At 36.8% G+C, this 26,032-nt stretch overlaps 1 protein-coding gene across 2 annotated transcripts in view, besides 3 other annotated features; it reads left to right on the top strand.

The window, feature by feature from the left end:
• The window catches only part of CYTIP (cytohesin 1 interacting protein), a 29,471-nt gene extending 15,968 nt beyond the window's left edge, over window positions 1-13,503 (top strand). For both annotated transcript variants that reach the window (NM_004288.5, XM_017005386.3), the window contains exons 6-8: window positions 702-771; window positions 9,533-9,599; window positions 11,979-13,503. In NM_004288.5, the coding sequence (NP_004279.3) occupies window positions 702-771; window positions 9,533-9,599; window positions 11,979-12,445 (604 nt within the window). In that variant the 3' untranslated portion in view covers window positions 12,446-13,503. The remainder of the gene's footprint in view (window positions 1-701; window positions 772-9,532; window positions 9,600-11,978) is intronic.
• Window positions 14,371-14,420: an enhancer, noted in NCBI's record as "active region_16670". NCBI's record gives its function as "activates an Ori minimal core promoter by ATAC-STARR-seq in GM12878 lymphoblastoid cells {active_cell/tissue: GM12878}" and the evidence as "EXISTENCE:reporter gene assay evidence [ECO:0000049][PMID:35858748]".
• Window positions 23,414-23,513: a silencer, noted in NCBI's record as "silent region_12026". NCBI's record gives its function as "represses an Ori minimal core promoter by ATAC-STARR-seq in GM12878 lymphoblastoid cells {active_cell/tissue: GM12878}" and the evidence as "EXISTENCE:reporter gene assay evidence [ECO:0000049][PMID:35858748]".
• Window positions 23,544-23,593: a silencer, noted in NCBI's record as "silent region_12025". NCBI's record gives its function as "represses an Ori minimal core promoter by ATAC-STARR-seq in GM12878 lymphoblastoid cells {active_cell/tissue: GM12878}" and the evidence as "EXISTENCE:reporter gene assay evidence [ECO:0000049][PMID:35858748]".

Here is a 26,032-nt window from a genome sequence, read left to right as displayed (position 1 = left end):
TATTTTTAGAAATGTGTGTGGTGTGGGAAGAACAGAACACTGGTAAGTTGATAATTCTAGGATTAGAGTTTGTAAACTGAATGTTTTGAGATAAAGAATCATATGAAGGTTATTATGTCATAGTAGTTGTACTTCTGTTTCTTCTAGTACCAAAATTATAAGGAGATTTACAGAGGTAAAGGCTCCTAGAATCCTATGGAGGAAAGGATTTCTCCCTCTTTCAAGAAGTAGCATGTTAATTCCATGGTTGTGAAAGCCCCTAGAGCCTATTATTTCTGTTGTTGTGCCCCTTGTGTTCAGCATGGTTTCTAGAATCTGGTACATAGTAGATGCCCAATAAATATTTACCAAATGAGTGAGGTCATTCAGCCCATCCCCACAAGAACAGATTCTAGTAGAGAGCAGCCATCATTGTCACATAGTGACTTCTATAAAATAAGCTATAGTTTACAAATTAACTAGGATCCTTTCTTTTAGCCACCTTCTCAAGGGGAGTTTTCCCCCATTTTCTTTCTCTGTTATCAGAAGATTTGGCTTTGGTCCAGCTACTCGAAGTGCCATGAGAACTGTAACATTTGTATTTCGTTTTTAGTATAGTATGTGCTCAAAGTGTAGTACTCTGTAGTATGGTACTTATTTAAACGAATCACTCATGTTACTCACTCCCCACCTTCCTCTTCTTTTTTTTTTCCTTAAAACAGGATAGAGACTCTTAATGGAACAATGATTCTGAAAAGAACGGAGCTTGAAGCAAAGCTGCAGGTTTTAAAGGTAATTTAATTTAATGCAGTGAGGCACATTTTTCATCCTTGAATGTGTGAGTGGTAAAATAAAGATCTATTTGAGGAACTGAGATAGCCCTTGAAAAAGAAATGTCGTGGTGAATCTAAACTGCTGAATTATCAAGAGCCGCACAATTACCTTTGGAGGAATATCAAATTCTGCAAACCAGTGTAAATCACTTTCTTCCTTCCTCCTTCTGTGTGTCTATGAGGCTCAGAAAGGCAACAGGAAGGCATGCCACTTGAAGAACTCTTCATTAGTGCACCTGTGATCTCTATTGATTTACATTTTGTTTGGAATTAAAACAAAAAAGGTCATTATTTTCCCAAGTGTGTTGGAGGGCCTGGGTTTTTCACTTTTTCCGTGTCCTCTTTTGGTGTCCTTCTCTTCTGCCTCATCCTTAAAACGAAAACCTTATCCGTCTAATCCTGTGACTGTCCTTGAATCTGCTTTCATTGGCAAATACACTAGCAAATTCAAAGGAGGAAGAAATTAGCGTCCAAGAGATAGTAAATAATGCAGGAGGTCCATTGAAAATTCCCTGGGATGGTTTTTTGAGGCTTTTAAAAATCTCAGTTTTCTGGGCTGATGAGGGTCTCCTAAGCCATGAAGTCCAGACCCTCACTCATGCATCTGAGTCATAGTTCTAAAGACCTCTCTGTTTGTCTCAGTGACCTCTGCATCCCAATCTCCCCCTTGCAGAGCAACCAGGTAGCCAATCTGAGCAGAGATTGTAGTTTACTTTAAGCAGGTTGCTTACTTTGGCTTTATTTAGAAATAGCTGCCATTTGTTAGTTTTCTTCATGAAATATGAGCTTATTAATTATTGAGCCCAAGAGAGTGGATTTTATTTTGTATCTTTTTCTTCCTCCACATCCAACTCATCAACAAGTCTTGCTTTCTTTGTCAACATTGGTTTGGATACTCTTGCCACTGTGCTTATCTCTGTGCTTTGTTAAATCAATTTATAGAATTCCTTGAAAAAACCTCTGCTCAAATTTTGACAGGAATTGAATTGTATTTATGAAATAAATGAGAGCAATTAAAATCTTTATGGCTTTCACTTTTCTCACTTTGAATTCAGGATCTCAATCTTTTTATTCAGATCTTTTATGGACTTAAAAAATATTTTGTAATTATCTTCCTATATTTTTACATATCATTTATTATATTCATTCTTGTTTACTTCCTCATTGTTCTTGCTATATTAATCTTTTAATTTTCAGCCACTTATTGCTAATGATTTTGTTTAAATTTAAAAAATCCAGTTTTGTTGAACTCCCTTTATTCTAATAATAATTTTTATAGATTTCCTTATATTTTCTATATAGATTTCTTATCATTTGCAGATAATAAAATTTTTTGCCCCTTTAGCTCAATTATTGAAACTAATTTATTTTTCCTCTCCTATAGCATTGGCTAGGATCATCAATATACTGTAAATAATGGTAATCTTATGGTTGACTTTAAAGAAAACATTTCTAACATTTTTGTTGCTACATTTTTATGAGGGGTAAACAGTGGTTCATATTGTACTTGAATTTAAAGTTAATTTGTTTTTGCAAAAGAAAGATAATCTTAGTGAACATCTTTTTAAAAAAGTTTAACTTTTTCACCTTTTCTTAGAAAAAAGAAATATTGAAAACAAGAATGAAAAATAGGGCTATATTCTATGGAATAAAGTACTAACTTGCACAAATCATTATTTGATGCCTTTAAGCAATTTCTATTCTTTGCATGTTTTTGCCTTAAGTTTTAATGTACATACTTACCAATGTATGAATTTTTCAGTATCTCCATCCTCTTCCAGAACATCATGAGCACCATACAATGTTTAAAATGCCCATTGAAGACCCTATATTCCTTATTATACTTACTTTAGAGGATTTGTATCAATTTTTTTAAAGTACAAAATACAGATTTTTGTTCTATAGCTGGTAGTGAAGAAATACACCAACTTGTTCGTTTTGATATGTTTGCTGTTGTTTGTTGCATTGTACTCCTTACCTCTAGGTTTACTTACTTTCTTGCTATAGTCCTTCCTTCTGTGGGGATAAGTAGATTTTTGTGTAAAAATGTTTTTATTTCACTGCTACTATTGGAAGAGAGTTTTGATAGGTAATTGAATTATTCTAAGTAGGTGTTTAGCTCCCTTAGCACTTTGAATATATTACTCCTTTAATATTTTTGTCTATGAGAGAGCTCCTAATTATTTTTGGCAGGTAATCTATATTTTCTGCTAAAGCTTTTTAACATTTTTCCTTTTTCCTTTAAGTCCTTAATTCATCCAGAATAAATTTTTATATATATTATGAGGTATGGGGAAAATTCCAATTTAATTTTTTTCCATATGAATAACCAGTTCTTCCAGTACCATTTATTTTGTAGTCCCCCTTTCCCCTTCAACTGACTTGCAGTAAAACCTCTATTTTTAAGCAAGTTCCACATATGCATGGATTTGCTTATAGGCTTTCTAATATGATCCGTGGGTCAATTTGTTTATCCCAAACTATTTATAATGAATCTTGATATCACATTGGGCACAGTTATTCTTGGTCCTTTGATCATCTATATAAATTATAAAAGCAGATTATATGTAAATAAATGTTGGTGTTTTGATTGATTTCAAATTTTATTTATCTATTTTTGGAGACAGGGTCTCACTCTATTGCCCTTGCTGGAGTGCAGCAACGTGATCATAGCTTACTATAGTCTCAAACTCTGGGCTCAAGCAGTTCTCCTATCTCAGCCTCCTGAATTCCTGGGATTACAGGCTTGAGCCACCATTCCTGGCTCTGATTGCACATTATATATATATATATCAATTTGAGGAAACAACATCATATGGTATTCTGTTTTTTTATTGATAGATGATCTTACCATTTTTTGTTGTTTTCTTTAAAGTCTTTCTAATAAAGTTATAATTTTATGCATATAGGTCTTATACATCTTCTGTTAGACTTAGTCCTCTGTACCTTATGTTTTTTGTTCTTATTATCGTTTCTTTACAAAAACTAATGCTTTGATTGACGTTAATAGACATGTGAAATAAATTTTTCTGTGCTGTGACTATATTCAAACACTTTGCTAAATTATAGAATAGTAATATCTATTCTAATAACTCTAATGAATTATCTGTAGATTATTTTGGATTTACTGTAGAGATAATAACTATCTGTTATGAATGAGTTTTGGTTCTTTTTCTTACTTTGCTTCACAGCTTAGGCGCTACCATACAACAATGAATAGAAATTATGGTTGTAGGCATCCTTGTTTTATTCTTGATTTTAAAGGAAATTCTTCCTAATTTCTTTTCCACTAGGAATGAGCTATCTTTCAGATTAAGGAGACTCCCTTCTATACGAAGTTTGCTGGTAGTGTTTATAGTGCTTGTCCATTAAACTTTATCAAATACTTTTTTTATGCATCTGTTAAGCTGGTCTTCTCATTTATTCATTTGAAAAAATTCTGTCAATATGTGAATGAAATTTAAATATATTCTAATATAAAGCTACCATTTCATTTCTATGATAAACCCAAGCTGGCTTATTCTTGAAATTTATAATTTGTAAATGTAATTACAGGTTCGATTTGCTAATATTGTATTTAGGATTTTGAAAGAGTTTCATTTTTCAGGTAGACTGGCCTGTAATTTTATTTTCTTAGATTATCTTTTTAAGTTTTGGTATCAAGTTTACTAGACTCTTAGCATGACCTGGGGACTGTTTTCCTCTTCTTATTTTCTGGCAGAATTTTAATAATACCATCTGAATCATTTTGTTTTAGGATTCTTTTTTGATGGGAATACTGTTAATGTACTGTTTCAATTACTTTATTAGTTGTGAGACTACTCAGGATTTCTGGTTTTTTTTAAAGACAGTTTTAGCGACTTATGTTTTTGTTAACAAAGTTTTTAAATTTATTAACTGAGTTGACAGTAAAATATTATTCTGATGTTTTAAATTTTTGTCAAAAATTGAGTGTGCCCCCATTTTTTTCTTGCAGTTTGTACCACTTTTTATGCTTCTTTTTTTTTCTTGATAACTCTTTCTCTACGGGATTTTCTATTTTTGGATCTTCTAGAAAACCAGTATTTGTGGCCATCTTTAATCCTTTTTCTGGTTGCTTTAAGATATTCTTTTGTCCTTATTGATCTACGGTTTTACTACAATGCAATTAGTTCTGGATTCATTTCTAAATTTATACCGTGTAGATCTTATAGTGCTCTTTCTGTTTAAAGACTTTCTTTAGCTTTGGAAAACTATCAACTCAATCTTTTTGGAATATACCTTCTACACCACTCTTGTATTATCTTCTGGAATTCATGTTAGGCATAGTTTCTTGATTTATCTTTCATGCTTCCTAATGACTATTTCATAGGTCTTTATTTATATTTTTGTGTTATATTCTTTCTGAATTCTTTAGTAACATCTCCAGAAATGTTCTTGCTAGCTGTTCTGTACAGAATGTGTTATTTCTATTGAGTTATAAAAATTACTTTCTTATTATCTTGTAGTTCTTTTTCATGTCTATCTGTTCTTGTTTTGTCATTTCAAATTTCTTGTTCTTATAAACATTGATCTCTCAGAGGATTATATCTCTCAGAGGATTATAAAAATTCTTATTTTAAAGTCTTTTTTGGACACTTTTCTTTTTTTTTTTTTTTTTGAGACAGAGTTTCGCCCTTGTCACCCAGGCTGGAGTGCAGTGGCATGATCTCGGCTCACTGCAACCTCCACCTCCCGGGTTCAAGGGATTCTCCTGCCTCAGCCTCCTGAGTAGCTGGGATTACAGGCACCTGCCACCACGCCTGGCTAACTTTTTGTATTTTTAGTAGAGACAGGATTTTCACCATGTTGGGCAGGCTGGTCGCGAACTCCTGCCCTCAGGTGATCCGCTCGCTTAGGCCTCCCAAAGTGCTGGGATTACAGGTGTGAGTCACCGCACCTGGCCTTGAACACTTTTCTATTTTCATTTTGTTTAGAGACAATCTATGCACAAATTATCAATTTTATTATCTTTTTTATCATTAAACATCTGTGTTTGGAGGTTTAGATTGCCTACTTCTCTTGCATGGCATATAGCCTCTCCCTTCAGCACAATGTGATAACTGGATGCTTGCCCCCACTTGGCACTTCAAGGCTATCAATCCAGAGCCAGGTCTGGGGGCTTCCGTGCCTTTCCTGAAGACTCAGTGAGCTGTTTGGCTCAGGTCACGAGGCTGTGTTTAGGTATTCCTGCCTTTCAACATACAAGCTCTACATGAGCCATAGCCAGCAGCATCAGCTTTTCTCAGCCTCCTTTCCCAGTGATGGAGCTTCAGCCAATGTTTTTTTCTTAAGCGGAAAACCTGTCTCAGACCTGTGTTTCAGATAGGTGTATTTAAACCATATATTGCCATAGAATTTATTTCTGCTTCTCCATATCCAGAAGACTTTAAGTTTCATTCTGTTTTCTATCTTGCATGTCTGTCCTGTTTCTAATCTTGAAATTATGAGATTCCGTTTAACTCTTGAGCCAAAAATGTCTTGGTCTGACCCATAGCCAAGGTCAGGCTGGTTTCCCCTCCACACAGTGACATTTATTTTGTGCATCCTGTGTAAGTCAGCATTCTTTCCCTCAAAGACTCTTCATTGCACCAGGGGCTCTTCTTTAGAAACAGTGGTCCTTTCTGATCCACATTTTCAGGGATTCCCTTTCTTCTGACCTATGATTCAAATGTTCAACATGAAAACAGCACATCCAATGGGCTAGCTGGGAAAGCTAGTTTGTAATCTACTTCTGCTATTTACTGGGTTTATATTGCTTGGGAAATATTTTGTTACATTGAATATTCATTTTCGAATCTGTAACTTTTTAGGGAAGTTATGAAAATTAAATATCATGTTATCAGTGAAAACACAATTGAAGTACTAAAGTGCCATGGAAATGTTCAGCTGTATGTCTCCTGTAGATTGAAAGCATTGGAAACTTCTTTGGAACAAATGTGTGATAGCTGAGAGTTGTTTTAGGAAGCCATTATTTTCACGTATTCATTCAACCATTATTTACTGAGTAGCTGCTATGTAGCTGGCACTGAACTAGGCACAGTGAGGTGATGCTGCCCAGTGGGGTTAGATCTCACTTGTGCTTTAGTTCTCATCCAATGAGAGCTCAGATATGTCTAAATAAACAATTGTGATGTCAGTAACACAGGCAGAAACAGACCCAAAGGAAAATAGGGAAGCTTGGTTACAGTTGAAAAACCCTTAGTCACTTTGACACATCTGCTCTTTACACTGGTATTTTCTTGGTTTAAGTGACGACATACTGAAATGACTGGGTCAAATCAACAAATCAGATATTGCAAAACCAGTATTTTTCCAAAAATTGACTGTATATATAAAGTCAGCCAGTGCTGACTTCGTATTTTTAGATAGTAAGTGCAGAAATATAACTTCCTCTTCTTTCTGTCTCTAGTTTTTACTGTTGACCTATCCCTATGCTCCTCAACTGGACGCTAGTCTCTTGTAGGAAATAAATCTCTTTAAGAAAGATGAAAGAGGTTGGTATGTATGCCAGGCACTTGCTAGCCTTATACTCCCTACGTCCCTAATTTTGACCTTCATATAACCACAGATTTACACAGTTAAAAGCTGGGAATAAGGCAGCATAGCAGTCCTTTTTTTTTTTTTTTTTTTTTTTTTTTGTGGCAGGGTCTTACCCTATTGCCCATGCTGGAGTGCAGTAGCATGATCATAGCTCACTGTAACCTCAACCTCCCAGGCTTAAGTGATCCTTCTACATCAGCCTCTTTTTTAAAAAAATTATTTATTTATTTTTGAGACAAAGTTTTGCTCTTGTTGCCTGGGGTGGAGTACAATTGTGCCATCTCAGCTCACCACAACCTCTGCCTCCCAGGTTCAAGTGATTATCCTGCCTCAGCCTCCCGAGTACCTGAGATTACAGATGCCTGCCATCACACCCAGCTAATTTTTGTATTTTTAGTAGAGATGGGGTTTCGCCATGTTGGCCAGTCTGGTCTTGAACTCCTGACCTCAGGCGATCCACCTGCTTCAGCCTCCCAAAGTATTGGGATTACAGGCGTGAGCCACTGTGCCCAGCCTCCTCGGCCTCTTAAGAACTGGTGTGCACCACCATACCCAGCTAATTAGAAAAAAAAATTTGTAGAGATAAGGTCTCACTATGTTGCCCAGGCTTGTTTCAAACTCCTGGTCTCAAGCAATCCTCCCACTTCAACCTCCTAAAGTGCTGAGATTACAGGCGTAAGCCACTGCCCTCAGCCCTCAAAGCAGTATTAAAGCTAGTCTAGACTATATTATGGTACAGAAAGAACAAGAAGTTGATTGAGTCAAGCATTTGATTGATTTATTGCTCGATTTTATATTGGCAACCATAAGGGTTGCTGTTAATTGTTACTAGTATCAAAGTTTGGAAAATTCTGCCCAGTTATTGTTCAATCTTTGAAGACTGAGGAACAAGCCATGTTCCTCTTAAGCATTTAATGACGTTCTTGCAATTTTATTATTTTCTTTCCTTTAATCCTTCTCCAAATATACATTTTTTGCCTCTTCCTTTTTAGCCTTCATCTACTCCTTGCAGATTGCTTTGTGGCAAGGATTGCTTGTTTCAACTAGGCTGTCTTTCCTTTGGCCTAAGAGTCCACAGGCAAACCTGAGCTGTGCCCACTTGCTAGGCTTGCTATAGGGACCTGAATTTGCAAAGGAAGGGGAACAGTAGAGAATAAATAATGGGAGACAGTGAGCCTATGGCTATGTCTTTTCAGATGCCTTCTGCCTGGTTTGTTTTAGATTGCCATTGCCTCAGTCCCCTCTGTGGGATAGGCCAAGACTTGTGTGCTGTCTTGACCCATGTGGCAGCTACTTAATTCCCACTGTGGGTCTCAGCTCTCGTGTGCTGGGGCAGCCAAGAAGGGAGGCAGTTAAGAAGTTAGGGTGCTTAGCAGTGTTCTAAGTTTAGCCCGCTAAGGAAGCATTTCAGATAGTTCTGTTCTCCTTTTTTGTGTGGAAAATAAATAGCTGTCCAAGCCAGGCACGGTGCCTCACGCCTGTAATCCCTTTGGGAAGCTGAGGTAGGCAGATCACGAGGTCAGGAGTTCGAGATCAGCCTGGCCAGCGTGGTGAAACCCCGTCGCTACTAAAAAGACAGAAATTTGGCCGGGCATGGTGGGGCGTGCCTGTAATCCCAGCTACTTGGGAGGCTGAGGCAGAAGAATTGCTTGAACCCGGGAGGTGGAGGTCTTTGGGCTTGTATGTTGATGGTGATATTTGTAGAGCATTAACTAAGTTCTAGTCACTGTTCTAAAAATTTTACATCTATGCACTCATCTAATCCTCATAACATTTCTGGGGTTTAGGCTCTATTATTGTCTTCATCCTACAGATGTGGGAATCCTAGAGTATAAATCCTTGCCTAAACAGCAAGTACGTTTTCACAAACCCAAATAATCTTATTAAAATAATTGTTTAAATAAAAGTATATTTTATTGTTTTTCTTGTTTTTTAAAAGAAAGCTTGTTGGTACTACTAGATTATTTTTTGAGGGCATAGTATTCTCAATATCCTCCTTTTATACAGCAAAAATATTTTAAATGGATGAGATGGAATGGTAGTACTAGAAAGAAAGGTAAAAAATTTAATGACAAATCTCAACACCTAGAATTAAATTGCTAGCTTCACTGGGGTTTCCTAATAATAAAAACTTTTTTTTTTTTTTTTTAATCTCACAGCAAACTTTGAAACAAAAATGGGTGGAGTACAGATCTCTGCAGTTACAGGAACATCGTCTGCTTCATGGTAAATGCAATTTCCTGTTCAGAAACCACACTAACATTACTTCTTTCAGTATTTCTGCCTCAAAGTTGGTTTAAGATTATCATCATTATAAGAAAAATTTGTCTAGTGCTGGTCAAGGAAATGGGTCTGTGTTTCTTTGGCATGAGCTTTGGAATGGCTGTATTTGGAGGAGGGGTAAGGCAAGTCAGATCCACTACTGCGTATCATGACGCAGATGCACATGCACACAGATGCACATGCTCGAAAACAGGCACCTGGAGATTTTAGAAAATCATTGGGGAAGATTGCCTAACTTTCCTTCTACTTCAGTGAATGAATTACATTTCTGAAAACAATCACGGCTAAGGGGCTGTATAGTTTTTAGAAGCTATTAAAGCTGGAATGGTTGCACACTTATTGGGTAGAGCTCCTGTCTTTTGTTTAAATTGCATAAGTTGCATTTATGCAGAGAAATTCTTTTTCATGGCCCCCAAGACAAAGACATAAATGCGTAAGATGAATACAACAGTAAATGCATAGCTCTTGCCATTGAGTGCATTTTTAAGGGAAGGGTTGAGTTTAAAATGTGTTAATTCGCTATTTGTTGTATGATAGATGTAACCAAAGGAATGAACTTTTGTGTACAAATAATTCACTGAAACCACTACGTGGGTGTGAAATATAGCTTATCTCTTCTTTAAATAGCACCAAGCTTAAGTCTGTAACCTAGAATATCTGTTAAAAGTGATAATCAATTTGTTTACCAAAAAAGATAACAATTTAATCCTTAACTAGTCACTAATTTATGGCTTAGAGTTCTGGTATGAACTTCTGTTTTTTTTTTTTTAAATTGAAGTGTTTGAAACTTATGTACAAGTTACTTCTCTTTTTTATGTCTTCATTTAATATTTTTAAAAAATTCATAATAGTTCTTTTGGGTAGTGAAGTTTGTTAGAGAGGCAGAAATATTTAATACAAAAACTTCTTTATGGCCTTGTAAATTCAGCCACCTCCTTGCTTTCTTTAGACATGAGGGCTTTTTAGCCTCATTTCCACTTCTGGAGCATCCTGAATGGCCCAGTGAATATAAATTCTTGCTGTTCTATAGAAACAGCCTTGTATAGACAACATTGTTAGGTCAGGATCCTCATAAAGTCATTGTTGTACATATTTTTTGAGCAATTGAAGGAGTTCTGCTTTTTCTAGATGTATAGTAAACATCCAGGGCATGTGATTCTATAAGGCAATTGCTCTCCAATCAAAAGAAATTCATCACTTATTGCAAGATGAAATGAAGTAGGTTGTATTAGCAAAAAGGAAAGCATTATGACTAGTCACCATGGGGCTGGCTGTACTCAACCTTGCAAATCATCTGAAAGAACAGTTTCTTTTTATATTGTCAACCGAGGACAAAAGACAGCAGCAGTGGAGATAATCAGTACAAAATAAAACCATTTTAGAGTGTACAGTATTCTATTATTTTTTCTGAAGCATAGTCACTTACTGATTACGTTTTTCCAAGGCTGGTATTACAAGTTCTCTCTCTCTCTCTCTCTCTCTCTCACACACACACACACACAAGATACCAACCAACTCAGTTAGTGTGGAAGCAGGGAGGGTCATATTGGTATGTGATTAACATTAGAGTTTGAAGAGCCAGATGTACGTTGTTAAGGATCAATGAAAAAAATTTAGCCAAGCAGATAAAATTCAATTTCTTCAAATAAATTATTACTTACTTGAGGACAAGGATGATTTCTGGGTACAGTATCATTCCAGAGAATTTAAGTATTCCAAAACGAAACTGGGAATATTGAGGTTGGAAGATACATTTGATTTCACAAATCCTTTCTCTAAGAAACACTTTTGAATTACCTGTTCCATAACTGTTTTCTATTTACTTCAAATGGTTTTATAATAATTTTAGAATTATTTTTAAAAGACAGTACCTAAGAATCAGAGAAACTAAGTGGAGAAAATCATGATAGTATTTCCCCAAGTGTATTCTATGGAACCCCATTTCTGTGAGAATTTTAATAAAAGGTTTCAGGGTTATTTAAATTTAAGAAATGATCATTTTGGAGGTTCAGATGCCACACTGGTAGACTGTCAATTGGGCTGAACTGTTCTCATATGAAACATCTTGTTTAAATTTATTCTAATATTATAATTTTTGTGACCATGGAACCTTGGTCTATGAACAATAGTTCAGGAAACCCTACTATAAGGTTTATCAAATGGTCTCATAAACAGTTACTTATTCAAGCACGCCAAAGCTCAGTGAAAAGTATTTTTCACCCTTACTCTTTCTCGTGTCATTCAAAGAGAAGTTTTGATGTAGTGTATTTATTTGTAGGGAGTAATGAACAGATCCATTTCACAGTAGACTTTGTGCTCTAGGTGATGCAGCTAATTGCCCCAGTTTGGAAAACATGGACTTGGATGAATTGTCTTTGTTTGGACCCCTGCCTGGGCCAGGCCCAGCCCTTGTGGACCGGAATCGATTATCCAGTGAGAGCAGCTGTAAGAGCTGGCTGAGCTCCATGACGATGGACAGTGAAGATGGCTACCAGACGTGTGTGTCTGAGGACTCCAGCAGGGGTGCCTTCAGTCGGCAGACGAGTACAGATGATGAGTGCTTTATCCCCAAGGAGGGGGATGATTTTCTGAGGAGGTCATCTTCAAGGAGGAACCGGAGCATCAGTAACACCAGCAGCGGATCCATGTCTCCCTTGTGGGAGGGCAACTTATCAAGCATGTTTGGGACCCTGCCCCGGAAGAGCAGAAAGGGAAGTGTCCGAAAGCAACTCTTGAAATTTATCCCTGGCCTTCATCGTGCTGTGGAAGAGGAAGAAAGTCGCTTTTGACGGATTGTGGTGTCCTTTCAAATTAGCTTATTTCACAAATATCTCTAGACTCACCCAGATCCCAGCTTGGTGGGAAAGTGCAGAAGAATTGCAAAACTGACATCCCATTTCACAGCAATAGTGACCTTTATTTAAATTGTTGTGTTATAGTTTATGCTTCTTAAATCATTTTTCAACCTAAACAGCCAATTTCTAAGCAGACAGGAAAACTAAATAATAAGTTAATTAATATAACAAAGATGCAGGTTCCTGCTCATTCCAGTAATGTCTTTGAAAGCAAAACTAATATTTATTTTCTAGATTATCCCTGTGAATAATTGAGAACTTTTTGGAGTCAAGTATGAATAAAGGTGTGGCAGAATATAATAATCTGGACTATTTTCTATAGGATAATTGCTGGGTTATAAAATCTTAGGTTTGCTTATGCCCAGTAGCTCCTGCGGAGGCTTAATAATAGGCAATTTTGAATTTGTTCAAACCTGTAATGGCTTGTAAACAAAGATGACCATCAGCTGTTTCTCACATCTATAGTGACAATAAAGCGGGAAGTATAAGATTTAATAGGAGGGGTTAAGGTTCATGAGAACCATGGAAAGATGTGGTCTGAGATGGGTGCTGCAAAGATCATAATAAAGTCATTTTTATAGACAGTCTAAACAAAATGGGTGGGGATGTCGTGTTTTTTGCCCAATTCAGCTTTTGTTCTGCCTGAACATTAATGGCAAGTCTAGAACTCTCCGAATCCTACAGCTTTGTAATTTTTTTTCTACAAATGTCTAACATCCAAAACTGAGGGTTGGGAAAAGGACTTCCCTCCTGTAGTTTTTTTCATATTACTTCTCACTTTATATCTTATATTCTAAATAGCTATCACCTCAGCAGTCTTTTGCCTATTGGTTATGTTAGTATCACATTACTTCTAGCCTTTCAATTACTCCATGTTTTATTTAATATCCATTGAAGTCTATGAATTCTCTGTTCTGGTGGCACAGCTATTCATAACCTATATTCTAGAGTAGACAATCTGGACTATGTAATAAATAGTCTGCTGATTTTAAGTTCTCTCTCTCTCTCTCTCTCTCTCTCTCTCTCTCTGTGCGTGTGTGTGTGTGTTTGGGAGAAATAGAAACACTTCAATTTAAGTAGAGCTGCTAAATTTAATTAAACTTCTGCTTAAGAAATGAGTTATTTTGAGATAAAAGAGGGTAGGGTAAGGAAGCATCTAAGATGAGAAAGAAATGATAAAGTATGAAAAGATTTCTAGTTGGGACTTGCCTTCTATTAACTCTTTGAACTGAGAAACATCCAGTGGCCTGTGCATGACAGTCACTCATATGAAAGGCAGGGTGTCACACCTTTCACAGAAATGATAGCAATACTGTCTACCATTTACTGAGTACCTAGTTGGCTAAAGACACTTTACGTATGATCCTCACAATTACTATATAGTAGGTGTTAGGCATACAGATAACAAGTCAGGAATTTGGAAATGTTCTCAGGGTCACAAGGCTAGTCAGTGGCAGGGCTAAAATTGGAAGCCAGTTCTTCCTTGCTCTAGTCTATTCCAGATATCTTTTACTCTTTTGGTTCTGTTTAGTGATCATCACAGTACTTTTTATTCCACCCAACAGGAATACTTAAAATGTACAATTATAGATGCTGCACAGATAAGAGCATTTCTTTGGGTAAATAGGAAAACAAACATTTCTCTGTTCCTCATATACAAGTTTCAGACATAGGTTCTTTAATAACTACATGATTAGCAGTGCATTTATTTTCAACAAGAGCTTGCAAACCAGTTATGATTCAACTGGTATTGCTTATTTCTCATCATAGTCTAGAATCATCCTGTTAAAGGTCTACTTATATGAATTCAGCATTTCTTGTTATCCTATTTCACAAAGTCCAGGGGAAGGAAACACCACATTTATTTGAGGAAAGATGACTTTGAAATCTTCTACAAGGTGAAAAAATGCTTTGAGAACTACACAGAATGACATAGGTCATACGGGAAAGCAGACCATAGATCATTTGCTTTTCTTGTGATTTTAATACAGAAGTGTAACACTGCTGTATGACAGTAGACCTCAAATGCAAAAAAGGGGCAGGGAAGGGACGGAGCAAGCATCACTTTAGTTTGCGGTAAGAATTAGAGTCGAGGTATGTTCTGAGAATAAAGAAAAAAGTACTGGTTAACCAAAGTACAGGAAGGAAGGGTATGTCATGTTCTATATTTCACAAGCTGTAAGAAAATTAGCTTTTGTTTAGTAGAAATGTGGGTAAATTTCTCACAGTATAACTTTCAGACTAATTTATGACTTCAGTCAGGCTTTAGAAGAAACTTCTGGTGCATAGTGATTCATTCTGATATAATTTACTAGGGAAAAAATTGAAAAGTGTTTTTTTAACTTGAAAGTTCTCAAATATGTATTACTGGTGAATTCCATTAATTGACAACCTGTTATGAAAATGCATTTTTCTAGAAGGGCATTTGATAAACCAAATTTGAATCAAGTAGATTGGGAATTACTTTATCATGTGGCTGAAGAACACAACCATGACAAACAGATTAGTAATATATTTTTGGAAGTGAACTTTTATTTATGACTTTCTACCTTGTAATAATTTTATATCTTAAGATACAGATAGCATTTAAAATCCCAGTTTGCGCTGAATAGATCAAACTTGGAAATAGTATGTGTGTCTTGATCACCAAAGTACAGACATTTTTGAATGTATACATACTAAAAATAGTAAGTAATACATAACTATATTGAGCCCCTCAGATCATAAAAGTATTGTTATTTTATATCCATTTCCTTACATACCTATGGGCTACAAAATCAAAATTTGATGCCTTTATGAAATAAAGAATGCTATTTTTCAGTGTCAGGACTTTCTCTCTCTTTCTCTGTCTCTCTCTCTCTCCCTACATTTCTCTCTACCATAAAGAAATAATTGTCTTAAAAGCAGACTTTTTAAAAAACCTGGGTGATTCTCAACATTTACTTCTTTGAGGACCTTAAAAGACACTACTTACTTAATTGAGACTTTGCACTATTAGCTTTTTTATTGCTATTTAACAAATTACTGCCAGGCATGGTGGTTCACACCTGTAATCCCAGCACTTTGGGAGGCCGAGGTGGGTGGATCACCTGAGGTCAGGAGTTTGAGACCAGCCTGACCAAGATGATGAAACCCCGTCTATACTAAAAATACAAAAATTAGCCGGGTGTAGTGGTGCATGCCTGTAATCCCAGCTACTCCGTAGGCTGAGGCAGGAGAATCGCTTGAATCCGGGAGGTGGAGATTGCAGTGAGCCGAGATCACACCATTGCCCTCCAGCCTGGGCAAGAAAAGTGAAACTCCATCTCAAAAAATAATAATAATAATAAAATAAAAATAAATAAATAATAACCACAAACTTAGAAGCCTAAAATATATTTATTATCTCAAAGCTTCTGTGGGCCAGGAGTCTGGGCACAGGTTAGCTGGATCTGCTCAGGATCTCACAAACCTGCAATTTACTGCAATTTTGGTGTTGTTATCTGGAGGCTTGATTGGAGAAGGATCAACCTTTAAGCTCCTTCAGGTTGCTGTCAGAATCATTACCTGGTGGCCATACAATTCATGGCAGCTTGATTCTTAAAGGCTGGTAATGAAGAGGAAAAAGGGAGAGGCTACAAACAAGACAGAGTCTTAAATAATACAATGTTATCGCCTTTGCCATGTAACATAACCTCTTAAGTGACTTCCCGTCACCTCGCCTAATAATGTAACATTAAGATGGGAATAGTATCCTATCAACTGTACCATGTTCTGTTTGTTAGAAACATGTCACAGGCCCACCCACACTCAAGAAGCAGGGATTACACAATCATGAATATTAGGAGTTAGGGATCAGGGGACCACCTTAGTCTGTTTGTAACACCATTCAAGGAGTTCACAGACTTGATAATATAAGGGTATTGAGCTGTCTCTAAATCTCCTTGAGTAAAAATTAGTGACTGTCATAATAATTTCCACATAAAGAAATGGAAGCATTAGTGAATTTTGGAATGAAATAACCTGGTCAAGATTGCATAACTAGCCAAAAAGTTGATTAAGAAACTTTCTGGCCTCCTGACTTTGTCTCCTTGGTGCGTGAAGTGATAAAAGAAGATTTAAAAAGAATAAGAAAGAATGAACTAGTTACTTGCTTTCAAATTTTACTTGAATCTGAATGCATTTAAGTGAATAGTGATTGGCATACTGAAGTTTGCCACTTCTAGGCAGGCGCATCTTCATAAGCAGATGATAGTAGGAACTTTTACACAGAAAAGTAAACAAAACACTTATCAAAACTACAAAGCACAAAAGGAAATGATCAGCCATGAGCAAAAGTTAGACGATATCACAAAATTATCAGAACTTGAGGGAAAAAAAGAAGTTTGAAAGAATAAAAAATGTATATCTTAGAAATAAAAGATAACTTCCTCAGCTTGATAAAGAACATCAACAAAAAGCCTACAGCTAATATTATAATGGTGGCAAACTGGACACTTTCCTTAAGATCAGTTACAAAGCAAATACATTTTCTCTCACTTCTCCTTTCTACATTGTATGAAAAATCTTCGCTAGTGCAATAAGGCAAGGAAAAGCAATAAAAGATACACAAATTAGGAAGGAAGAAAAGAAACTCTTTATGATGATATGTTGTTTATGTGAAAAGTCTCAAAGAATCAACAGTGCAACAAAAAATCCTGGCACTACTAAGTGAGTATAGCAAGGTCATGGGATACAAGGTTAACATACAATAGTCAATTGCTTTCTTACATATCAACAATGAACAACTGGAATTTGAAAAAGGAAAAACAATATGTTGACAGCATACAAAAATAAAATACTTAGATATAAATCTAACAAAACATTACAGGATCTCAATATGGTAAACTATAACCCTAAATAGAGAGTCAGTGTTCATGGATTGGAAGACTCCATAGTTTTACAATTCAGTTCTTCCCAACTTAATCTGTAGATTCAGTGTAATCTCAATCAAAATTCTAGCAAGCTATTTTGTAGACATCAACAAATTAATTCTAAAGTTTATACGGAACGGCAAAAGACATATAATGGCCAAGAAAATACTGAAGAACAACAAAGTTGGAGGAATTACAATATCCTTTTAAAGACTTAATATAAAATATAGTCATCATTACAGCATGGTATTGGCAAAAGAATAGACAGATAAATCAGTGGAACAGAACAGAGTGCCTAGAAATAGACACACACAAATATAGTAATTATCTTTGACACAGAAGTAAAGTCAATTAAATGTAGAAAGGATAGTGTTTTCAACAAATGGTTCTGTCCAATATGCAAGCTCTTATATGTTTCACAAAAATTGACTCAAAATGGATCATAGACATAGGTATAAAACACAAAACTATAATACTTCTATAAGATAGCATAGGAGAAATTCTAGATTTCCTTTGGTGTCGTAATGAGTTTTTGGATACATCAAAAGGATGATTTATGAAAGAAAAAGTTGATACATTAGACTTTATAAAAATTAAAACTTCTGCTTTGTGAATGGCACTGTTCAGAGAATCAAAAGACAAGTCATAGGCTGTGAGAAAATATGGATATACAAACGGTTACATCTATAAGATGCAATATTATTCAGCTACAAAGAAATAATCTATCAAGTCATTAAAAGACACTATGAATCTTAAATGCATGTTGTTAGGTAAAAGAAACTAGTTTGAGAAGACTAATACTGTATGTTTCCATTTATATGACATGGTGGAAGAGGCAATACTATAGCAATAGTAAAGATATGAGTGGTTTTAAGGAGTTAGGGCTGGGAAGAAGGCATGGAGATGGTTGAATAGGAGGAAGACTGGTGAGTTTTATATAGTGATGAAACTCTTCTGTGCGATATTGTAATCTTGGATACATGACTCTGCATTTGCCAAAACCCATAGCACTTTACAGAATGAAGAGTTATCCTAAAAGCATGCAAATTATCAAAAAATCCACTTAGGTGGTTGGGGGATCCCAGGATAGAATGAAGAATGTGACAAAAACAATCTAACTGTATCAAAAATGTATAAAACAACTTAAGAGCGTGGAAAAAAAAGATGCTGAGCTAAGTAGCTCTGGAAATGATTGGAGTTTATAAAATGAAAGACAAAATAAAACACACAAAAACATTCTGCTCTAACAGAAAAACTTAACAGAAAAACTTGCTTTCCACATGAATACAATTAATAACTCTGACAGTGCTACATATGTATACTGCAATTGAAGAGTTAATAAATTCTTATGGCTGATAATGGGAGTCAGATTTCTTACTGTTGGATTCAAAGTTCACAGATAAGTAAGGGAGAATGCTAGATTAGACATCCGTATGCACTCAATATTAGCTTAATAAAAGTATGGATGATTACATACATAAATATTTATAGATATCTGTGTATGCATGAATTAGTTTATACACACTTATTTCCTTGCTCTGTCAGCTGAGAGGTCAAGGAAGTAATGACACTTTAGCAGCAATGAACACACATAGCACCAAGATCTTGGCTTCTAATACCATTCCCCAATAAAATAAACCAGAGTTACGTGGAGAAATGGCTTATTCTAGGTCTGGGGCAGGGAATGAACAAGAAGGGCCTGCAGCATCTTGTAATGTCAGAAAGTAATAAAATATTTTTAAAAAACCTTATAAAGATTGAGATATGTCAAAGGGAAATAGAAGTCAATCAGAAGGGCTCCTAATGGCCAAAGATGAAACACTTGGAGCAACAAATAAAACAGTATTAAATTATAACCCAAAATATAAAATAAGTATACATTCATGTGTCCATAGCGATATAAATAAATGACTGAGTAAATAATAAATGGAGTGAAGAGACAAACCTCCTGTATGGAAAAATTTCCCGTTACTTATGTAGATACTCCACCCTCAAGGAAGAGGAGCAGAACTCCTCATTCCTTAAGTGTGGGCTGAATATGATGACCTTTTTCCAAAGGGTATGGTATGGAAAAAGGGGAAAAGTAATTTAACAGTAGTGAAACCTGACAAACACTACTCCAGCCAGGTGATCGAGATCAACATCAATTGCCATAGGTTTATGTTGCTAATATGTGTCCTTGATATTATATAGTGAGAATGACACTTTGTCTCAGTGGTCCTCTTGCCCAGTACCCATAGCTTCAGTCTAATCATGAGAAAAACACCAAACAAATTCCAATTAAGAGATACTCTATAAAATATCCGCCAGCACTTCCCAAAACTGTCAAGATCATTAAAAATGAGTAGAGTGAGAGAATCTGTCATAGCCAAGAAAAGCCTAAGGAGACATGATGACTAAATAGAACATGGTATCCTGGAGAACAACCTGGAGCAGAAAAGGACACTAGGTAAAAAGGAATTCTGAATAAAGTTTAAACTTTAGTTAATAATGTGCCAATATTGGTTCAGTACTTGTAACAAATATACCATAATCACATTAGATGTGAATAATAGGAAACTGGGTACAAAGTATTTTTGCGCTCAGTCTCCCCTATTCACATCTAATATTGGGAACCCTGTGCTATCTTCACAATTTTTCTGTAAATATAAAATTGTTCTAAAAAATAAAGTTTACTAAAAAATAAGCACATTTTAATTAACTAAAAAGAGTAAAACGAATAAATAAAAACCACAGTGGAATAATAAAGTATTTGAATTAATTGAGAAAATTTAAATACTTTTTTAAATTTTATGTAAAATTTAACATAAAATGTAAACAAAATTTTATTTTAAAAACATTGGCCGACTTGGGCCGGGCGCAGTGGCTCACGTCTGTAATCCCAGCACTTTGGGAGGCCGAGGCGGGTGGATCACTAGGTCAGGAGATCGAGACCATCCTGGCTAGCACGGTGAAACCCCGTATCTACTAAAAATATAAAAAATTAGCCGGGCATGGTGGCTGGCACCTGTAGTCCCAGCTACTCGGGAGGCTGAGGCAGGAGAATGGCGTGAACCCGGGAGTTGGAGGTTGCAGTGAGCCGAGATCGCACCACTGCACTCCATCCAGGGCGACAGAGCGAGACTCCGTCTAAAAAAAAAAAAAAAAATTGGCAGACTTGTGGCTTCTGGTCGGGCATGTAACGAAGTTGGAAGTCACAACTCTGTCTTAACAGCAAGTAAAAAACTTAACAGCCGGGCGCAGTGGCTCATGCCTGTAATCCCAGCACTTTGGGAGGCCGATGCTGGTGGATCACGAGGTCAGGAGTTTAAGACCAGCCTGGCCAAGATGGTGAAACCCCGTCTCTACTAAAAATACAAAAATTAGCCAGGCCTGGTGGTAGGCGCCTGTAATCCCAGCTATTTGGGAGGCTGAGGCAGAGAATGGTTTGAACCCGGGAGGGAGAGGTTGCAGTGAGCCGAGATTGCACCACTGCACTCCAGCCTGGGCAACAGACTGAAACTATGTCTTAAAAAAAAAAAAAAAAAGGAAAGAAAGAAAGAAAAAAAAAACTTAACTGAAAAATCAACAGCTCTTTTTAGATGCATCAAAGAAGTGAGGTCACAGGGCAAATCACTGTCCCGTTAATTGCAGACAGGCACATGCAAAGAATCATGATGGACTAGGGCAGGAACCCACAGCAGAAACTTATATATCTCTTTATAGAGAAATAAATATGTTGTGTACATGAAATCCACTTTAAATATAGAATTTAAAAGTATATGATGGAAAAGTACATACCATGTTGTCACTACTTTAAAGAAAGTGGGAGTATCTGTATTAATTTCAAACAGAAGAGACTTCAGAGCAAAGAAAATTATCAGGGATAAAGAGGAACATTATATAATGATAAAGGGACCAATTCTGCAAGAAGACATAGCAATTTTTAATGCATATGTGCCTAGCAAAGCAGCAAAACACATGAAATGAAAACTAACTGTAGTCTGTTAGTTTAATCCACTATTACAGTTGGAGAATTCAACACCCTCTACCAGAAATGGACAAATATAGCAGGCAGAAAATCTGCAAGGACATAGCTGAAATCAATAACATCATCAATCAACTGAATATAGCTGATATCTATCAACTACTTTATTCTAAAACAGAAAAATACACATTCTTCCTCAACTCACATGGATTATTCATCAACATAGACCACATACTGGACCATAAAATATACCTTAACAAATTTAAGAGAACATAAATCTTCCAATGTCTGCTCTCAGATCACAATAGATCTAAAGAAGTAAATTAGCTAGAAAATTCCTCAAATACTTGGAGATTAAACAACACACTTCTAAATAACACAGAGGTCAATGAAGAAATATCAAGAGGAATTAAAAAATATTTTAAAATAAATAAAAATAAAAACAACATATCAAAAATTGTGGTATGCAGCAAAAGCAGTGCTTACTGGGAAATTCAGAACATTTAATGCATGTATTAGAAAGGGGAAAAGATCTAAAATCAATAATATAAGCTTCCACCTTTGGAAATTTAAAAGAAATGCAAATTAAATCCAAAATATATAGAATAATATAATTAACAACAATTAGAACATAAATCAATAAAATAGAAACTAGAAATTCAGTAGAGAAAATCATGAAACCAGAGCTAGTTCCCTGAGAACATTAACAAAATTGAAAAGCCTTTAGCAAGGCTAACTTAAAAAAAAGAGAGAGAGAACCATAAAAACCCTAGAAGAAAACCTAGACATTACCATTCAGGACATAGGCATGGTCAAGGACTTCATGTCTAAAACACCAAAAGCAATGGCAACAAAAGCCAAAATTGACAAATGGGATCTAATTAAACTAAAGAGCTTCTGCACATCAAAACAAACTACCATCAGAGAGAACAGGCATGGGAGAAAATTTTTGCAATCATCTACTCATCTGACAAAGGGCTAATATCCAGAATCTGCAAAGAACTCAAACAAATTTACAAGAAAAAAAACAAACAACCCCATCAACAAGTGGGTGAAGGATATGAACAGACACTTCTCAAAAGAAGACATTTATGCAGCCAACAGACACATGAAAAAATGCTCATCATCACTGGCCATCAGAGAAATGCAAATCAAAACCACAATGAGATACCATCTCACACCAGTTAGAATGGTGATCATTAAAAAGTCAGGGAACAACAGGTGCTGGAGAGGATGTGAAGCAATCCTCTTTTACACTAGAAACACTTTTACACTGTTGGTGGGACTGTAAACTAGTTCAGCTATTGTGGAAGTCAGTGTGGTGATTCCTCAAGTATCTAGAACTAGAAATACCATTTGACCCAGCAATCCCATTACTGGGTATATACCCAAAGGATTATAAATCATGCTGCTATAAAGACATATGCACACGTATGTTTATTGTGGCACTATTCACAATAGCAAAGACTTGGAACAAACCCAAATGTCCAGCAATGATAGACTGGATTAAGAAAATGTGGCACATATACACCATGGAATACTATGCAGCCTTAAAAAATGATGAGTTCATGTCCTTTGTAGGGACATGGATGAAGCTGGAAACCATCATTCTCAGCAAACTATTGCAAGGACAAAAAACCAAACACCTCATGTTCTCACTCATAGGTGGGAATTGAACAATGAGAACACATGGACACAGGAAGGGGAACATCACACACTGGGGCCTGTTGTGGGGTGGGGGGAGGGGGGAGGGATAGCATTAGGAGATATACCTAATGTTAAATGACAAGTTAATGGGTGCAGCACACCAACATGGCACATGTATACATATGTAACAAACCTGCATGTTGTGCACATGTACCCTAAAACTTAAAGTATAATAATAAAAAAAAGAAATGAGCTTGCTAGACAATGCTATTTATTATTATAAAAATTGCTTAATTATAATAACTCTACCATTTTTGGTTATCAATAAATGATGTAAGTAAATTTTAAAAGTATAAACTAAAAATAGGAAAAACATAGAAAATGATAATGAGTAGGGATCTGATCCCAACCAGCTGTATTTGAAGACATGGTTGTTATTTCCTCACCACAATATGTGACATTTTATTCTGAGTTTCAAAACTACAGACAGAACCACTGATTAAAAACAGGATGTGGGTGAATAGTCATGCATGAGACTACCTGGATGAGACATGAGCTAATCTAGTGGTTCTAAAACAGCAGCCTCCCGTCAAATGCTGGCTTGCTGCTTCAGAATCACCTGAGCAACTCGTAAAGGTGCAGATTCTCAGGCATTGGGCCCCAGAGATTCTGTTGAATAGGCCTGGGTGGGTTTCAGAAGTCTTTGTATAAACAAGTTCCCTAAAAGATTCTTGCATTAATAGCTAGGAACCATGTTTTGAGAAACACTACCCTGGAAGTTTATAATTTCTCTGTTAGCTCTGGTGTTGGTGAACTGTAATCGGGATGGAGTATAAGCAAAATGATAAAAAATGTCAAAAATATTAAAAGTGTCTTAAGAAGAAAGCTACCTCCTAATAACCTCCTCTTAGATTTTCCAACATGAATGTATGAAATTTCCATGCTTTTCAACATCATTTTCTGCATGTAACCATGACTCCTAGTCTGCTGAAGTGGAAGCCATCTAGAAGGAGTTCCCTCAATTCCCTTGCCTCCAATGATTTCTATCTCCTTTTTCTCTTTGCTGGTATTTCTAACTGAAATGAATGCATGTCTTTCCCACTTCTTACATCTTTACTTTCCCACAGACTTCTTTCTTCAGGCCAGCAAATACTTTTTATTTTTACCTATTCTGAGCTTAACCAGTAAAACCTGCATTATCAGCATGAACAGAAGATCATATCTCTTCAATATGTAAATTAATTTCCTAAGCCCCTGATTGCTAGATTCAGCATTGGAAACTAACCTTTATTGATCATGTTTCCATTTTCTGTCCTAAATCTTTTGAAAATGCTGGGATCTTACTTGGTGGTGCTTCCACACTTCTGAAAAGAGAAATGGATAATTGAAAAAGCCACAAGTCGGGGAGGTTACAAGACAGCCGAATAGGAACAGCTCCAGTCTACAGCTTCCAGTGTGAGCGATGCAGAAGATGGGTGATTTCTGCATTTCCAACTGAGGTACCGGGTTCATTTCACTGGGGCTTGTTGGATAGTGGGTGCAGCCCACGGAGTGTGAGCTGAAGCAGGGCGAGGCATCACCTCACCCGGGAAGTGCAAGGGGTCAGGGAATTCCCTTTCCTAGCCAAGGGAAGCCGTGACAGATGGCACCTGGAAAATCGGGTCACTTCCACCCTAATACTGCACTTTTTCAATGGTCTTAGCAAATGGCACACCAGGAGATTAGATCCTGTGCCTGGCTCACTGCTAGCACAGCAGTCTGAGATTGAACTGCAAGGCGGCAGTGAGGGTGGGGGAGAGGCACCTGCCATTGCTGAGGCTTGAGTAGGTAAACAAAGTGGCAGGGAAGCTCGAACTGGGAGGAGCCCTCTGCAGTTCAAGTAGGCTTGCCTGCGTCTGTAGACTCCACCTCTGGGGGCAGGGCATAGCTGAACAAAAGGCAGCAGAAACTTCTGCAGACTTAAACATCCCTGTCTGACAGCTTTGAAGAGCGTAGTGCTTCTCCCAGTATGGAGTTCGAGATCTAAGAACGGACAGACTGCCTCCTCAAGTGGGTCCCAGACCTCCGAGTAGCCTAACTGGGTGGCAACGCCCAGTAGGGGTGGATGGACACCTCATATGGCCGGGTGCCCCTCCGAGACGAAGCTTCCAGAGGAAGGATCAGGCAGAAACATTTGCCGTTCCACAATATTTGTGGTTCTGCAGCCTCTGCTGGTGATACCCAGGCAAACAGGGTCTGGAGTGGACCTCCAGCAAACTCCAACACACCTGCAGCTGAGGGTCCTGACTGTCGGAAGGAAAACTAACAAACAGAAAGGACAACCACACCAAAACCCCATCTGTACATCACCATCATCAAAAACCAAAGGTAGATAAAACCACAAGGATGGGGAGAATTCAGAGCACAAAAGCTGAAAATTCTAAAAATGAGAGCACCTCTTCTCCTCCAAAGGAACACAGCACCTCACCAGCAACGGAACAAAGCCGGATGGAGAATGACTTTGACGAGTTGAGAGAAGACTTCAGAAGATCAGTAATAACAAACTTCTCTGAGTTAAAGGAGGATGTTCGAACCCTTTGTAAAGAAGCTAAAAACCTTGAAAAAAGATTGGATGAATGGCGAACTAGAATAAACAGCATGGAGAAGACCATAAATGACCTGATGGAGCTGAAAACCATGGCACAAGAACTACGTGACGCATGCACAAGCTTCAGTAGCCGATTTGATCAACTGGAAGAAAGGGTATCAGTGACTGAAGATCAAATGAATGAAATGAAGCGAGAAGAGAAGTTTAGAGAAAAAAGAGTAAAAAGAAATGAACAAAGCCTCCAAGAAATATGGGACTATGTGAAAAGACCAAATCTACATCTGATTTGTGTACCTGAAAGTGACAGGGAGAATGGAACCAACTTGGAAAACACTCTTCAGGATATTATTCAGGAGAACTTCTGCAATCTAGCAAGGCAGGCCAACATTCAGATTCAGGAAATACAGAGAATGCCACAAAGATACTCC

Source organism: Homo sapiens, chromosome 2, assembly GCF_000001405.40.
Source record: "Homo sapiens chromosome 2, GRCh38.p14 Primary Assembly".
NCBI lineage: Eukaryota > Metazoa > Chordata > Mammalia > Primates > Hominidae > Homo > Homo sapiens.
The sequence above is the reverse complement of the archived record's forward strand: the minus strand, read 5'-3'. Positions and strand labels throughout refer to the sequence as shown.